General features: G+C 37.5%; 1 protein-coding gene across 1 annotated transcript in view, besides 1 other annotated feature; it reads right to left on the reverse strand.

Moving 5' to 3' along the window:
- Positions 1-16,748, reverse strand: part of MEIKIN (meiotic kinetochore factor) — a 138,674-nt gene that overhangs the window by 120,232 nt on the left and 1,694 nt on the right. Inside the window, exons 4-5 of the mRNA NM_001303622.2 lie at positions 15,414-15,474; positions 6,292-6,420 (exon numbers count right to left, since the gene is read on the reverse strand). Coding sequence (NP_001290551.1) covers positions 6,292-6,420; positions 15,414-15,474 — 190 coding nt within the window. The remainder of the gene's footprint in view (positions 1-6,291; positions 6,421-15,413; positions 15,475-16,748) is intronic.
- Positions 4,997-5,550: an enhancer, noted in NCBI's record as "OCT4-NANOG hESC enhancer chr5:131267911-131268464 (GRCh37/hg19 assembly coordinates)". NCBI's record gives its function as "activates a minimal SCP1, AML or CMV promoter by ChIP-STARR-seq in primed H9 embryonic stem cells {active_cell/tissue: H9 hESC(primed)}" and the evidence as "EXISTENCE:reporter gene assay evidence [ECO:0000049][PMID:30033119]".

Genomic DNA, 16,748 nt, shown 5'->3' on the forward strand with positions numbered 1-16,748 from the left:
TTTGACTCACTGGTTATTCAAGAGTATGTTAAATTTCCACATATTTGTGAATTTTCCAGTATTCCTTCTGCTACTGATTTCTAGTTTTGTTCCATTATGGTCAGAAAAGATACTTGGTATGTTTTCAGTCTTCCATTTGTTAAGACTTGTTTTGTGACATAATGTGATCTATTATGGAGAATGTCCTATCTGTGCATGAGAGAAATATATATTCTGCCACTGTCAGGTAGAATGTTTTGTATACATGTTAGGTCCATGTTGTCTATAGCGCTGTTCAAGTCTGCTGTTTGCTTACCTGTTTTCTGTCTGAATGTTCTATCCATTGTTAAAAGTGGGTTATACTGAATTATCCCACAATTATTGTATTACTATTTTTCCCTTCAGTTCTGTCAATGTCTGTTTTATATATTTAGATGCTGATGTTGGGTGCATACATATTTATAACTGTATATCTTCCTGGTGAATTGACCCTTTTATTATTATTTTTGTTCTTCTTTGTCTCTCATGACTGTTTTTGATTTAAAGTCTATCTTGTCTGACATAAATATAGCCACCCTCCTCTCTTTTGGTTACCATTTGTATGGAATATCTTTTTCCATCTCTCCATTTTTAGTGTATGTATCCTTAAATCTAAAGAGGATCGGCCGGGCGCGGTGGCTCACGCCTGTAATCCCAGCACTTTGGGAGTCCGAGACGGGCGGATCACGAGGTCAGGAGATCGAGACCATCCTGGCTAACACGGTGAAACCCCGTCTCTACTAAAAATACAAAAATTAGCCGGGCACGGTGGCGCGCGCCTGTAGTCCCAGCTACACGGGAGGCTGAGGCAGGAGAATGGCATGAACCCGGGAGGCGGAGCTTGCAGTGAGTTGAGATCGCGCCACTGCACTCCAGCCTGGGCGACAGAGCAAAACTCCGTCTCAAAAAAAAAAAAAAAAAAAATCTAAAGAGGGTCACTTGTAGACATCACATCATTAGGTCTTGTTCTTTTATCCATTCAGTCACTCTGTGTTTTGATTGGGAAGTTTAACTTATTTAAAGTAATTATTGATAGGTAAGGACTTAACTATTGTCATTTCACTAATTGTTTCTGTCTTGTAATTCTTTTGTCCCTTTTTCCTTTAGTGCTGCCTTTGTGTTCCACTGCTTTTTGTATATATCGATAATGCTTTTCTTTTTCTTCTTTTGTGATTCTTCCATAGGAATTTTGTTTGTGTTGACCATCGGGCTTACGTAAAATCTTCTATAGTTGTTAACAGTCTAAGCTGATAACTTAATTTCAATTGCATACAAAAACTACACTTATACTTCTCCCCCTCCTGCACTTTATTCATGTCACAATTTATATATTTTATGTTGTATTATTAACATCTTCAGTTAGTTTTTAACGTTTTTATCTTTTAACTCGTATACCAGAACTAAAAGTGATTTAATTCTGGTATACTACTATAACAGTATTACTGTATTCTGTACAGTATTACAATTACTATTACATTACTATTGTAATAGTATACTATAAATAATTAGTGAGCTTGAGGACAGGTCATTTTTAAAGACTCCAAAAGCAATTGCAACAAAAACAAAAATTGACAAATGGGACCTAATTAAACTGAAGAGCTTAATAGTAAACTACTATTACAATATTACTGTATTCTGTATTTATCTATATATTTATCTTTACCAATGAGTCTTATACTTTCATGTTACTGTTTAGCATCCTTGAGTTTCAACTTAAATAATTCCTTTCAGCATTACTTGTTAGGCAGGTCTAGTCATGGTAAATTCCCTCTGCTTTTGTTTGTCTGGGAAACTCCTTGTCTCTCCATTTTTGAAAGACAGTTTTCCTGGGTGTACTGTTGTTGGTTGATAATTTTTCTTTCAGCACTTTGAATATATCATCCCATTCTCTCTGATCTGTAAGGTTTCTGCTGAGAAATCCACTCATAGTTTTATGGGGGCTCCCCTGTACATGTCAAGTCACTTTTTACTTGCTGCTTTCAAAACTGTCTTTGTATATGACTTTTGACAACTCATTTATACTGTTTCTCAGTGTGGATTTCTTGGCTTCCTTCTACTTGGGTCCCTTGGGCTTCCTGGATCTAAATGTCCATTTCATTCCCCAGATTTGGGATGATTTTAGCCACTATTTCTTCAAATACACTTTCTAGTCCTTTCTCTCTTCTTCTCTGGGACTCCCATAATGCAAATGTTGGTCTGCTTGATAGTGGCTCACAAGTCTCTTAGGATTTCTTCAATCTTTTCATTCTTTTTTCTTCACTAATGGCATAATGCTAAATGACCTTTATTTTTCTTCCAATTTTTATTTTAGATATAGGGGGTACAGATGCACATTTGTTACATGGGAAAACTGTGTGTCACTGGGGCTTGGTGTACAAATGGATTTTGTCACCCAGATAGTGAGCATAGTATCCAATGGGTAGCTTTTCAATCTTCACCCTCTTCCCACCCTCCAACCTCAAGTAAGCCCCAGTGTCTACTGTTCCCTTCTTTGTGTCCATGTGTACTCAATGTTTAGTTCCCACTTATGAGAACATATGGTATTTGGTTTTCTGTTCCTGCATTAATTTGCTTAGGATAACGGTCTCTAGCTGCATCCATGCTGATGCAAAAGATATGATTTCATTCTTTTTTATTTCTGTGTAGTATTCCATGGTGTACGTGTACTACACTTTCTTTATCCAGTCTACCACTGATGGGCATTTAGGTTGATTCCACGTCTCTGCTATTGTGAAAATAGCTGCAACAAACATATGTGTTCATGTGTCTTTATAGAATGATTCCTTTGGAAATATATCCAGTAATAGGATTGTTGGGTCAAATGATAGTTCTAGGTTCTTTGAGAAATCTGCAAACTTCTTTCCACATTGGCCAAACTAATTTACATTCCCATTCCTCCTGTGTACCAGCAGTGTATAAGCTTTCCCTTTTCTCTACAATCTCACAAACACATTATTTTTTGACTTTTTAATAATAGCCACCTTGACTGGTATGCAATGCTATCTCATTGTGGTTTTGATTTGCATTTCTCTAATGAGAAGAAGACATACTTCTTTAGTCTTCTTTATATTCATGTCCTCTGCCCATTTTTTAATAGGATCGTTTTTTTGCTTGCTGATTTAAATTTCTTATAGATTCTGGATATTAGATCTTTGTTGGATGCATAGTTTGCAAATATTTTCTCCCATTCTGTAGGTTGTCTGTTTACTGTGTTGATAGTTTATTTTGCTGTGCAGAAGCTCTTCAGTTTAATTAGGTCCCATTTGTCAATTTTTGTTTTTCTTGCAATTGCTTTTGGAGTCTTTAAAAATGACCTGTCCTCAAGCTCACTAATTCTTTATTCTTCTTGAGCTAGTGTGCTGTTATATTGCTCTACTGAATTTTTCTTTTATTCTTTTTTATTTTTTTTAGAGCAGTCTTGCTCTGTCATCCAGGCTGGAGTGCAGTAGCATAATCATAGCTCACTGTAACATCAAACTCCTTGGCTCAAGTGATCCTCCCACCTCAGCCTCCTAAAGCATTGGGATTATAGGCATGAGCCACTGTGCCTGGCCTCAGTTCAGTGATAGTATTCTTCAGCTCCAAAAATTCCTATTTTGTTCTTTTTAAAACTTCCTTTTTGTTGAAATTCTTATTTGGTTCATGTATTGTTCTCAACTTGTTGAGCATCTTTTTAATGATTATTTTGAATTAGTTGTCAGACAATTTGTATATCTCCATTTCATTGGGGTCAGTTTCTGGGGATTTATCTTGTTCCTTTGTTTCGACCATGTTTCCCTGCTTCTTAATTTTCCTTGACAATTTTACTTGTATCAGCATCTACGCATTAGAAAATAACAGCCACTTCTCCCAGTCTGGCATTGTACAGAAGACCCTTATGAATAAGCCTACCCAGGGATCTCTCAAATCTTTGTGCTAGTCCAAACCACCGTCTTTGTTGTTATCAGCCTCCAGGCATTTACAATATGTCAGATCTTGTCAACATTGTAAGACAGGTGTGACAGAAGGTAGTCCCAAGAACATCCCTTGAAAAGTTGGAACATTGGACACAAAGTCCAACTCTTTCTCTCCCGAGGGAGAAGCTGGAATCTTTTTTTTTCCCCCACTCACTCTGCACTGAGCTAGGTGGAGAGCCTATGGCAAATGTTTGTGTCCTAGACCAAATTGTCATCTTTGTTCTCAGCAGTCACCAATCACCTTGGGTATGTTGGGTCCTATCAGCACTCTGAGACAGGCAAGACCGAAATCAGTTCCCTCAGGCATCCCTCAGAGAATTCAGAACACTGGATGTATTGTCAAGTCCCTTATCTTGCTCTTCCCCTCAGGGAGAAGCTGAAAACTGTGGTATGGGTTTCCTCTCAACTGTATGATGCTGTGCTAGGAGTAGGAATTATGGTGAGGATGTCTCAAATTTTCCTACTGGCTTTGATGTGGCTGGCCCCATGCTTGCCAGGATGCAGGCGCCTGTCGACTATTTTCTGAATTTTTCACAAAGGGAACTGGTCCATATATTGCTGTTGAATTGGTGTGTCCATAAGGAGTAGGCAGATCCATGGCTTCCTGTTTCAACATCTTGCTGACACCATTCTCACATTTTGTTTTGTTTTGATATCTCTTTTTAATGTTAGAGGCTTTCCTCAGAAGTCTGGTGATCCTTGGCTCTCTGTTCATATTTAGAAGTGGGTCCTAAAAGGCTAAGTGGTATCCCTATGGCCTAGGTGGGGCTTGTCACATAGTTGGCTTCACTGTAGGGTCTTCCACCTGGTCAGTTTCATTGAGGACTCCTGGGGTCAGTATCTTTAGATATTTTCTTCTGGGGTACTCAGTTCCTGAGAAAATAATCTTCCATTTTCTCAGCAGAAGGTTCAAGTCTGGGAAGCTGACAAGAAAAATGGGCTGCTGGGGTGGGGTGGAAATAAGCATTGGGTGAGCAGATCCCATAATTTAGGATGTACACTTTTACTTAATTCCCTCTTCCAAATTCAGTACATTATCTGCAGCAGTCTGCTTTGGCTGTTTAATAAACAACCACAAAATCTCAGTGGCACAAAGTGAGAAGCATTTATTTTTTGTTTCCATGTCTATTAGTTGGCTCAGGTAACTCAGATTACAGATCTGCAGATCAGCTGGGGCAGCTCTCTGAAGTGAGCTGGTTGCCTAGACTGCTCCACTCTGTAACTCTCATTCTGGGGTTCCACGAGAGAGGCAGAAGCTAATTAGGGTCCATTCTCATGATAATGCCAAAAGTGCAAGAAGACAAGCTCAACCATTTAAGCAATTTGAAAGCTTTTCTTAAATTGTGTTTGTTGCAGAAAGCAAGTGACATGGCCAATCCCAAAGCCAGAGAGTGGAAAAGAATACTCCACCCATTACGAGGGTATGAATATAATACTACAGAGAAACGAATAATTGGGACTGACATTTCAAAATACCACAGTATCCCTGCTATTAAAAGGACCTAGTATTCTCCAGTCTAGAGTCCCTGTTTCAAAATATTCTAAAGAATACATCTCCAGGCTCCCTTTGAGCAGGAAAGGAGCAGTTAACCACATCTTTCATGTTTTTGACATCTATTTACAAGCATTTGGCACAACCAAATTATGAGCTTTTCTGTGACACTATAGTGCAAATTGGCTTGTTTCTGGGGTATTCACATTGTTGGTTTAGGACTCCGCTTTCTTAGGTCTGCTGTATCAGATCACCTGATTAACCTTCCAAACTTTGTACTTTCTTTTTTTCAATTATCTTTGTCCTTATGAGCGTATTACTTTAAAGAAAAAGCTGTTTTCTGCCATTGCAAGATTGTAGAGTAAGGCATGTATTTGATCTGCCATCATTAACCAAAGGTTATATTTATATGTATAATAAATGTAAATAACTCTTAATTTGTGGAGAAAATTCAAGCAGGGACTTGGCCTAGCTAACATTTAAGTTATTTGCTGAAAAGTAAGATAAGTACAGGAAAAAAAAGATAACACATGGTTCAAGAGAACAAGTATACATTCATTAGGTGCAAAATTGATTAATAATTGGATGTGTATTACATATAAATGCTAAATGACATTTCTTCATCCTTCCTTGATCTGAGGGCTTTTGCTCTATTAGTCCTATGTGACTGGGAATGAAACACAACGGGTAATGGTCAGGGAAGTGAGGTGTTGGTGAGGAAGAGGAGTATGCCTTCTCGAAAGGGACGTTTATTCATTGGAGGATTTGTGGACAAAAGAATAATTTCTATAGTAGAGCAATTTAAGGTTGGAATTACTTTCTCACCTAAATAATCTGATTTTCTGAACAGTTCAGGTGATGGAAAGCTCTCTTCAAAACTCTTGTATTCTGCATAAGAGTCTGTGACTGAATAGCTCAGAAGAGAACTGGCCATACCATGGTGCAAACTTAATCCTGTAGAATAAAGGAAAAAAAAATTGATAAATCTTTTGATACAAAACAATGTGAAATCCTAAAAATTGAAATGTATGGAAATGTACATGCTTAGTTATATATTATTACTAGAACATAAGACTGCTTCTACATACAACTAAAAAGGCATAATATTTTAAACTATTTTAATTTGATCTTGGACAATCATTCTATTTTTGATGGTGATAAATTTGTTATAATCCCCTTTTGTTGTTTTTCAAAGTTTTACAACTTACTCCTTTTCTCTAGTTTGGTTCAGTTGTGATTCTTGGCTCAAAAATTTAATTTTTTAATTTTTTTTTTTGAGACCGAGTCTCACTCTATAGCCCAGGGTGGAGTGCAGTAGCACGATTTTGGCTCACTACAACCTCCGCCTCCCGGGTCCCAGTTCAAGCAATTCTCCTGCCTCAGCCTCCCGAGTAGCTGGGATTACAGGAATGTGCCACCATCCTGGCTAATTATTTTTTTTTTATTTTTTTTTTTAGTAGAGACGGGGTTTTACCATGTTGGCCAGGCTGGTCTTGAACTCCTGACCTCATGATCCACCTGCCTCGGCCTCCCAAAGTACTAGGATTATAGGCGTGAGCCACCGTGCCCAGCCAAAATTTAAGTTTTATATATAAGTAACCCATTAATTGTAAGCTAACTAGCTGAGGAAAGGGTGATTCTAGTTATTTCATCTAAAAAACAATGAGCCTACACATACACAAATATATTAAAGGAATTTAATAAGAGAGCATGGAAATAGACTCACACATAGATAAGCAACTGATTTTTGACCAATATGTAAAGGCAATTCAGTGGAGAAAGGATAGTCTTTTAAACAAAATGTGCTGGAACAACTAGGTATCCATATAAAAAAACAAAATAAAAAAACTTGCACTCATACCTTCCATCATGTAAAGAAATTAACTCTAAATGCATCATATATCTAAATGTAACTCCTAAAACTCTAAAACTTCTTTTAAAAAATGGAGAAAACTGTAACACCGAGTTATGCAAAGAATTTTTTTATATAACACTAAAAAAGATTCATAAAACAATAGCACTGATAATTTGGACTTCAGCAAAATTTAAAACGTCCCTTCAAAAGAGACTATTAAAAGACAAGCTATAGGCTGGGTGCAGTGGCTCATGCCTGTAATCCCAGCACTTTGGGAGACCGAGGCAGGCAGATCACGAGGTCAAGAGATAGAGACCATCCTGGCCAACATGGTGAAACCCCATCTCTACTAAAAGTACAAAAATTAGCTGGGCGTGGCAACATGCACCTGTAGTCTCAGCTACCTGGGAACCTGAGGCAGGGGAATCTCTTGAACCCAGGAGGTGGAGGTTGCAGTGAATCAAGATCAAGATCGGCCACTGAACTCCAGCCTGGTGACAGAGTGAGACTCCATCCAAAAAAAAAGAAAAAAGAAAAAAAAAAAGACAAGCTACAGATAGGGAGAAAACATTTGCAAATGGACTGAAATCCAGAATGTAAAGAACTGGCTCGGCACAGTGGCTCATGCCTGTAATAACAGCACTTTGGGATGCCAAGGTGAGAGGATCATCTGAGCCCAGGAGTTTGAGACCAGCCTGAGCAACATAGTGGAACCCCGTCTCTACAAAAAAAAAAAAAAAAAAAAAAGAAAGAAAGAAAAACCAGAATATGAAGAACTATGAAAACTCAATAATAAGAAAACAAATCCTCAATAAGAAAATGGACAAATATTTGAACAGAGAATCTTCCCAGACTCAGCAGTCTTAAAGTCATTCCTATGGGAGTGGACTAGAATGAAGAACTGTCCAATAAATGATGGTGACAGAACATAGTACTAAAAGTTGAGGAGAACCAGAGATTTGGTAAGAAAAGGGAAAATGTGCTCTGCTATATTTAGTCTACATTTATTAAACATTTCCAATATGACAAGATAGAGATCAACACTGATAGAAACTGGTTGCGGGGGTCGGGGGTGGTGAGTAAGAGATCAAAGGGGAGCATTGTTCTGAAAACCTATTATCTCCTGCCCTGGAACTAACTTACACCTATCTCTGCTCATCCATTACCTACTTGAGACAACTAACTCTTTGTCCTTCCTCCTAAGACCTCATCACAACTTTTTCTCCTATGCCAACTCCCTTGTTAAAAATGAGAATTGTTTTCTACCTGGCCATCTTCTCCAGCTGCCACTGGAACACTTAAATTGACTGACTCAATCTACCATCCTTCTCCATATCCTCAACTGTCAGAGTAGTAGGCTTTCCCTCTGAGCATCTTTTGCTTTCTCTTCTCCAACTGCCCTAGAGTGTCCTGTCCCTGTCCTTGCTAACTTTTATCCTTCTCACACTGTCTTCATCCTTCCCATCCACATATTGTATCTGTCTTGCCTTCCATTTCTCAAAATTTCATGAATACCCCTCATAGCTGAGCTATCCTTAACACCAAGCCCCAGAACTCAAGCCAGGCTCAGAAATAAGGAAAGCCCACCATCTGGGTAGTTGAGTAGAAAAAATAATAAATGTTAATGCTGTATCAGTGGGAGGCTGTCCTGGTGTCACAAGTTAGAAATGTAAATGCAATTAAAAAACATATTTTTATCAAATTGTTCATTGTTAAAATGACAAATAGTTCTACAAGGCTTATAGCAAAAACTGCAATCTCTTGTATCATATCTCCCCATCATAATTTTCTACTCGCTAGAGACAACTACTTTCAACTCTATTAATGATTTCTTTTGATAGGCACCTCCTTTACATTTCTAAATTAAATAAATTCAATGTTTCTATTATTATGACTATTCAAATATACTCGTAGCCAAGCCCTATACTGTGGGCCACATTCATCACCTTTTTGCTACAATTTCTTTTCCTTTGAGCTATTTATTACCTAATTTTAAAATTTGTTTTCTAAGTACTTATTAAGTATTAATACTAAGTACTATTTTGTTCCAACTTTTTTTTCTTTCTTTTTGAGACGGAGTCTCACTCTGTCACCCAGGCTGGAGTGTAGTGGCAGGATCTTGGGTCACTGCAACCTCCGCCTCCCAAGCTCAACCAATCCTCCCACCTCAGCCTCCTGAGTAGCTGGGATTACAGGTGCGTGCTGCTACGCCTGGCTACTTTTTCGTACTTTTAGTAGAGATGGTCTCGAACTCCTGACCTCAAGTAATCCTCCCACCTTGGCCTCCCATAGTACTGGTATTACAGGCATGAACCACAGCGCCCGGCCTTGTTCCAACTTTTCCCAAGAGTATAAATTTCCTCTCAATACTTTTAAAAACACCAGGTTATCTATTTTTTATTTTCCTCCCTCTCTCCCTCTTCTTCTGTCTTTTCTTCTTTTTTAAAAAAGTATAGCTATTGGAGATCTCAATCCATTTGCTCAAATTTGGACTGTTTGTCCTCTATGCATCCTACACAGTTGTTTTCTTGGTATTTCCCTTTACCATTATCCTAAGAAATTCACATATTTCCTGTATTAGATAAGAGACTCTGATTCCTAGATCCCATGATTTCTTCCTTATTGATTTATTTCCTGGTTCACGAACATCTGCTTCATTTCTGAGAAAAGGTACAAAGAATATGTGTCTAAAAATTCCTTTATCCTAACAACTGAGTGACAGTTTGGCTGGGTAAGAATTCTAGGTTAGTATATTTAAGAGACTGATTTAATTTTTTGATGTGTGACAGCTTTTAAACCTCACTGTTCCCTCTTCCCCTTCCCACCTCACCTCTGGGTGACAAGAGAGCCTTGGTGTTCCATCTTTTGGCAATGGTAGCAAGTTTAAACCATGCACAGGAAACCTCAACCTGGTCCAATCCTCTTAACATCATGAAAACTACAGGCCAGGTCTCCTTCCCCTGCATTCTCAAGTCATTTTCAGTCCTGCTTGGAGTCACCTTTCCCCCGAGAAAGGCTCGTTATATGAGTAATATACCTTTCCATACCTTCTTGGTGTGTGGATGGCATAATCAGTGTTGACATCCAGGACAACTTTTGAGTGGGAGTCCATTTTGACTCTGCAAAATCAGTGTTCTTCAGAATTCTGAATACGTTTTTCTCTCCACCATGTTCTACCTTCTGGAGTTGTTCTTCAGAAGTCCAATGCCATTGATATTCTTGATCGCTTATTGCAACTGATTATTTTTTCTCTGGAAAACTAATAAATTTCTCTATCCTGAGAATTTAAAAATTATATAATGTTGTAACTTGGTGTGGTTTTTTTTTCATTTATTGGGGTGAGCACAGTTTGCACCGTCCAAACTTGGCTCTCAGTATCTCTGTTCATACTATTCAGAATCTGAATGGCTCTTTCAGTAAATACACTCATGACCATTTTTAATTCTAGGAAAATTTCTAGCTTTGCGTGTTTAATAATTTTCCTTCTGTTTACTCTATAATGTCTGAACTACTGTTTTTGAGATGTTAGAATCATTGGACTCATCTTCTAATTATTTTTCTTGTTAAAATAACAACTTTATTGAGATATAATTCACATGCCATAGAACTCGCCCCTCACCCCCTTTTTTTTTTTTTTTTTTTGAGATGGAGTCTCGCTCTCTCACCTAGGCTAGAGTGCTATGGTATGATCTCAGCTCACTACAACCTCCACCTCCCAGGTTCAAGCAATTCTCCTGCCTCAAAAATTCCGAGTAGCTGAGATTAGAGGTGCACACCGCCATGCCCGGCTAATTTTTTGTATTTTAGTAGAGACAGGGTTTCACCGTGTTGCCCAGGCTGGTCTCGATCTCCTAGGCTCAGGCAATCCACCCGCCTCGGCCTCCCAAAGTGCTAGGATTACAGGGGTGAGCCACCGTGCCTGGCCAAAACTCACCCTTTTAAAGTGTACAATCAGTGGTTTTTTTGTAGACTTATGGAGTTGTGTCACCACTGATGCTATTTCTATCCTTTATCTTCTCTTTCATGTTTGTTCAACTTTTTGGAATATTTCCTTAAATTTATCATCCAATTCTACAGAATGTTTTCTGATTTCATATTTTTATTTTTTAACAAATTTTTTTGTTCTGAACACTTTTTACAAGAGCCTGCACTTGTTTCATGGACATAACATTTTTCCATCATCCTGAGGATATTAATGAAACTGTGGCTTTTTAAAAGATTTTTCTTGTATTGTCATTGTCCTTCAAGTTTCTTTTATTTAGTAGCTGTTATTTTAAATGTTTACTTAAAATGTCTGCTAATTCTTGAATGTTCGAGAATGAAGTACCAAAATGGCATAATAACTTGGGCTTAGGAAGAAGTGGATTTTACTGAAGAGTATTTAGACAGGGACCAGGCCATATTACCAGAACGCACAAATTCCAGTCTTCTCCTGGGGACAGAAACTTCCAAAAGAGGAATCCTCTAATCTTCTAGTTGGAGTGTATTTGCCTGAGTGCATAAGGGGTCTGGGGATTTCACATCAAAATATACAGACTTTCACTTAATTCCCTTTCCTCCCCGGCCACTGCTAGTTTTCAGTACAGTATCCTTGAATCCAGTCCCTCTGCTTCAATGTCTTAGACTACCAGGGTGGGAAGAAGCATAGTTGCCTGGCCACAGTGTGTTAGGGAAAGGATCAAAGCATCTAACTGTTACTTTTGAAGATTCCAAAAAATCTTATTTTAAAGATTTCCTCCAGGAATATGTAATGCCTCTAATTCCTGAACCTTTAGCCTGAATCAGTTTGTTTCTTGGTTTGTCTCTACTCTAGACACCTAGTTTTCAGCTTTTTTTTTTTTTAAGATCTGTTAGGTCAATTATAATTCATTAATCTACCTTCCACATTCCAAACTTTCATTAATTATCTGTTGTTAGCTGAGGTCTCTTCTTTTTGAACCTACAGCTTTACAACATTTTTATGCCTTTATTGATATTTTAGTAGGGTTTCAGAAAAGAGAAGTAAATGTGTATTCAATCTTCCACATTAAATATAAAATCCTTAATTAATTTTTCAACGTGTTATAAAGTTACTAGATTCCAAGGTAGAATTAAAACAATAAATCATATGTTAACTAAAATTCTGTGGGCTGCTCAAAACTTAGCCCATCACAGTATTTTATTATGGGAAAAAGTATTTCAGGTTTCAAATATCAATCAGCAAATGAACTCTCAGAATACAAGCAGTTTGTAAGTTAGAGACAACTAATTTTCTATTTCCTTATACCTTTCACGTGTCAACTTGATAAACCTAGTAATCAAGGACATTTCTCATATATTTAAACTATGATTTTAGAAAATGCTGATTATGATTAAATGGTATTTTCTCTAAATAGAGTACAAGACCCATCCAAAAGCATTTGAGACATTCGACAATTATTTGAACCTGTATTATCTTTGAAACTGTATTCCAAGCATGAGATAGGAAGATAAAAGATAGTGCTAATTCTCAATGGTTTTAGAGCCATTTTCCTCTTTTTGAAGAGTTAAAGACAGACGAAAACAATTACACTGTGGTTTTAAGTCTTTTGACAGAAGTATATAGAGTGCCACAGAACTACCAGGGTAGAACAAGTCACCTAGAAAAAGAGAAGTCAGAAGAGGCTTCCCAGGAGAAATAGCTGCTGAATTTATTTTTGAAAAAGTTAATAAGGCAAAGAAGGGAGAGGAAGAAGGAGAGAAAAGCATTTCCTGAGCACCTCCCATGTTCTTTTGCACTGCATTCTAGGAAATATTCCTCTAGTCTATTTTCTAGCTCACTAATTTTAGTTGAATTAATTCCAATATTAGACTCCTCGGTTAAGTTTTAATTTGAAATAATATTTTTAGTTCCCAGGGACTATATTTTTTTTCATAGCAGCCTGCTATATTATGGATTCAGCGGCCTCTGGTATCTACAGATATTTAGTTTTGTGCCATTTCCTCAAATGTTAGTTCTGTTTGTTTCATTTGTTGCCTCTTTTCCATGGAACTGGTTTTCTTCAAAAGTTTGGATATTCCTGGTTGCTTTATTTGTGTCTCTGAGAATCTGTTTATATGGCAGTAAGTAAAAATTCTGAAATAGTGGCTTGCTTCTGGAGATTTTGGAAGAGTGATGAGACATTCTGGGAACCTGTATTCTAGGTGGGGATGTCCTGTATTTTTTAGGTACTGTAGGTGACATGGGGGCACTGCCCTAACTGTCCGGCCAGTGTCCACACTGGAAGTCTGCTGTATCAGAAGTCTCACGGTTCAGAGAGCCATACTAACTTTATTATGGAGTTAACAAACATAAGAATTGACTACATCTTTTACTTTTTTCTTCCTCTGCTATCCTTGTAGCAATATGGAGTTACTTCAGACTCTCCTCTGTTTATCAACTCAGCCCCAACATTGACCCTTAAGAGCCAGCCCCCCCGATAGTTCACTTTGCTTGTGAGTAATTATCAGGGTTTTCTCCTGGCAGCAGGCACTGGTAGCTGCCAGAGTTTCCAATATATTAGGGGATTATGAAAAAGGGACCAGATATTTCAAATGTAGTTCTTAATCCATCGCCTTGACAATTCCTTCAAGATCTCTTCCTTTTTTTTTTTTTTTTTTTTTTTTTTTTTTTTTGTGACGAAGTCTCGCTGTTGTCCCCCAGGCTGGAGTGTAATGACACAATCTTGGCTCACTGCAACCTCCGCCTCCCGGGTTCAAGCGATTCTCTTGTCTCAGCCTCCCGAGTAGCTGGGATTACAGGCGCCTGCCACCACGCCTGGCTAAATTTTGTATTTTTAGTAGAGACGGGGTTTCACCATGTTGGCCAGGCTGGTCTCGAACTCCTGACCTCAAGTCATCCGCCTGCTTTGGCCTCTCAAAGTGCTGGGATTATAGGCGTGAGCCACCGTGCCTGGCCCAAGATCTCTTCTATTACAGTCTTTTGCTTTACTGATCAAGGGTTTAGAGTATTTCCAGGCTACTTTTACCTCTGCAGTGGTTTTTTTTCCTGCTGTTGATATGTTCATCAATCTTGTCTCATTTGCTTTTAAGAATTCCTCTGTATTTCTGATGTGCTGGTGGCATCCTTGTTTTCAAAATAACTTTGATTATACCAATATGTAGATGGCTCACAAATTTCTATCTCCAGCCTTTCATATCCAACTATCTGGTTGATATTGCTACTTAGTCATCTTAAATGCACTCATAACTTAATATACTAAAAACTGAATTTCTAGTCTTTTCTTCAAACCAGTTTTTCTTTCAGTGAATGACACTACCTTGTATCCAGTTACACAAGCCAGAAACAGTAGTCATCTTTGACACCTCCATCTCCTTCACTCTTCATTTGCCAAATCCTGTCTCATTACCTAAAATAGCCATCACATCACATCAGCACCCTTTTTTCCATCTCCAATGTCACCACCCTAGTAGAAGGCGCCATTATTTCTCCCCTAAACTACTTGAACAGCCTCTTAACTGCACTCCTGATTCTTTCCAGTCCTTCTTCCACACTGCAGCTAAAGTGATCATATCATTCTCTATTAAAATGACTTCAATGACTTTTTGCTGCTCCAAATATAAACATCAATATTTTTTATATGGACTACAAGGCTATGCAGGGCCTCAAACTGGTTGTCTAATCCTGTCTTACACTCACATATCCTCCTACTCTCTGTACTGCAGTCATACTGGCCTTCTTCAGTTACTCAATACATAATGCTCAGTCCCATGTTAGAGCTTCCCTCTGCCTGAATTTCTCTTTACTCATCTCTGCATAGTTAATTTCTACTCTCCTTCAGATCTTAATTCAATTACCATTCCCTCATGGAAGTCTTCCCTAATTTCTCTAGGTAAACTCAATCACACTCAAGTCAATCTCTTTTACAGTACTTATCACAAGTAATTTCACATTTACTGGCATGTGCTTAAAGGCTTTAAGGATGAGATCTATAGCACAGTCAGAAGGATTCACTTTGGAGTAGGGAAAAGATACCTCTTCCACTGAGATAGGAAGATGGGGAGAGATACAGATGGATGCTTATGTTTGGAGGAAAAACAGAAAGCTGAGGGAGTTCACATTTGACAGTCTTACCTGATACTAGTTCACTATTTGATGAACTACTATCAACCTGGAGGTCATCAGTAACTGATTCCTAAGTGAAATAAGAATTAAAGCTATAGCAAAATTATGAGATTGACCATTTCTATATTATAATCTTGTACAGATTTATTTTAGAAAAATGAAAACATCAACTTTTTATATGTTTCATATATATAATACATTCATTCAGTTTATTGTTCAGATGTAATCTGATATTTAATATTAAACCTAAAAATAAATATTAAAATATAATACTATGAACATATCTTGTAATCAACAATATGCTAGTCAAGTAACTACTGTGGGATGACAGCAAATAGAAGATAGAGGTGAATATTTTTCTGGTTCCCTAGTGGGGAGGGGCTTTTTTTCCATCTATAGAGGCAAATATATAAATCAAAAGAAAAGACTAGTAAGTCTAAAATACTAGAAATAAAATTAAAGGCAAGTAAACAAATATGGAAATATTGGTTATATATGTATGTACAAAAGTATAGCTATCTTTAATATTTAATAGACATTTCACAAAACAGTACAAATGGCCAATAATTTGAGAAAAAAAATATCGACTTCCCCAGCATTCAAAGAAATGAAAAGTAAAAAACATGCTACTTTTCATCTATCTATCTATCTATTTCATATATATACACACACATATATATAAAAGTTTCAGGTAAGATGGTGCTGATTTATCAACATGAATAAAAAAACTTGAAACATGATCCAACCTGTGATCCACTGCAAAGTATTTATCTTAGGGTAACAATGTGAGGTACACAAAAACCTTCTGTAACAGAATGTCTATGGATATCAATAACAGCAAAACCTTGGAAACAATCTCAATTTCCCAACCACAGGGAAATAGTAATACAAATTACAGTGTATCTATCTACAAGACAAAGCACTATGAAGACACTGAAAGTCATATTTTTGAAGACTATTTAATGTATGGGAATATACAATAAGACAACTGGTCATTTTTTTTAAAGCACAGGAGAAAAGGAACAGAAATATATAAAAATTTTAAGAAACTTTCAAAACACTATTTTTTCATAGTATAAATACTCTACAAGGACTACTTTACACTGTTAAACTATGGATAAAAGCCTTTTAAAAAAATGTCTTGTGTTGAAACTGCCTTCCCCCAAAAACATGTTATAAAGGAATATTAAGTTAAAAAAAAATAGAACTTGGCCAGGTGTGATGGCTCAAGCCTGTAATCTCAGCACTATGGGAGGCCGTGGCGAGCAGATCACTTGAGGTCAGGAGTTCGAGACCAGCCTGGCCAACCTGGAGAAACCCCCTCTATACAAAAATTAGCTGGGT

The sequence above is a fragment of the Homo sapiens genome, chromosome 5, assembly GCF_000001405.40.
Source record: "Homo sapiens chromosome 5, GRCh38.p14 Primary Assembly".
NCBI classification, from domain to species: Eukaryota; Metazoa; Chordata; class Mammalia; order Primates; family Hominidae; genus Homo; species Homo sapiens.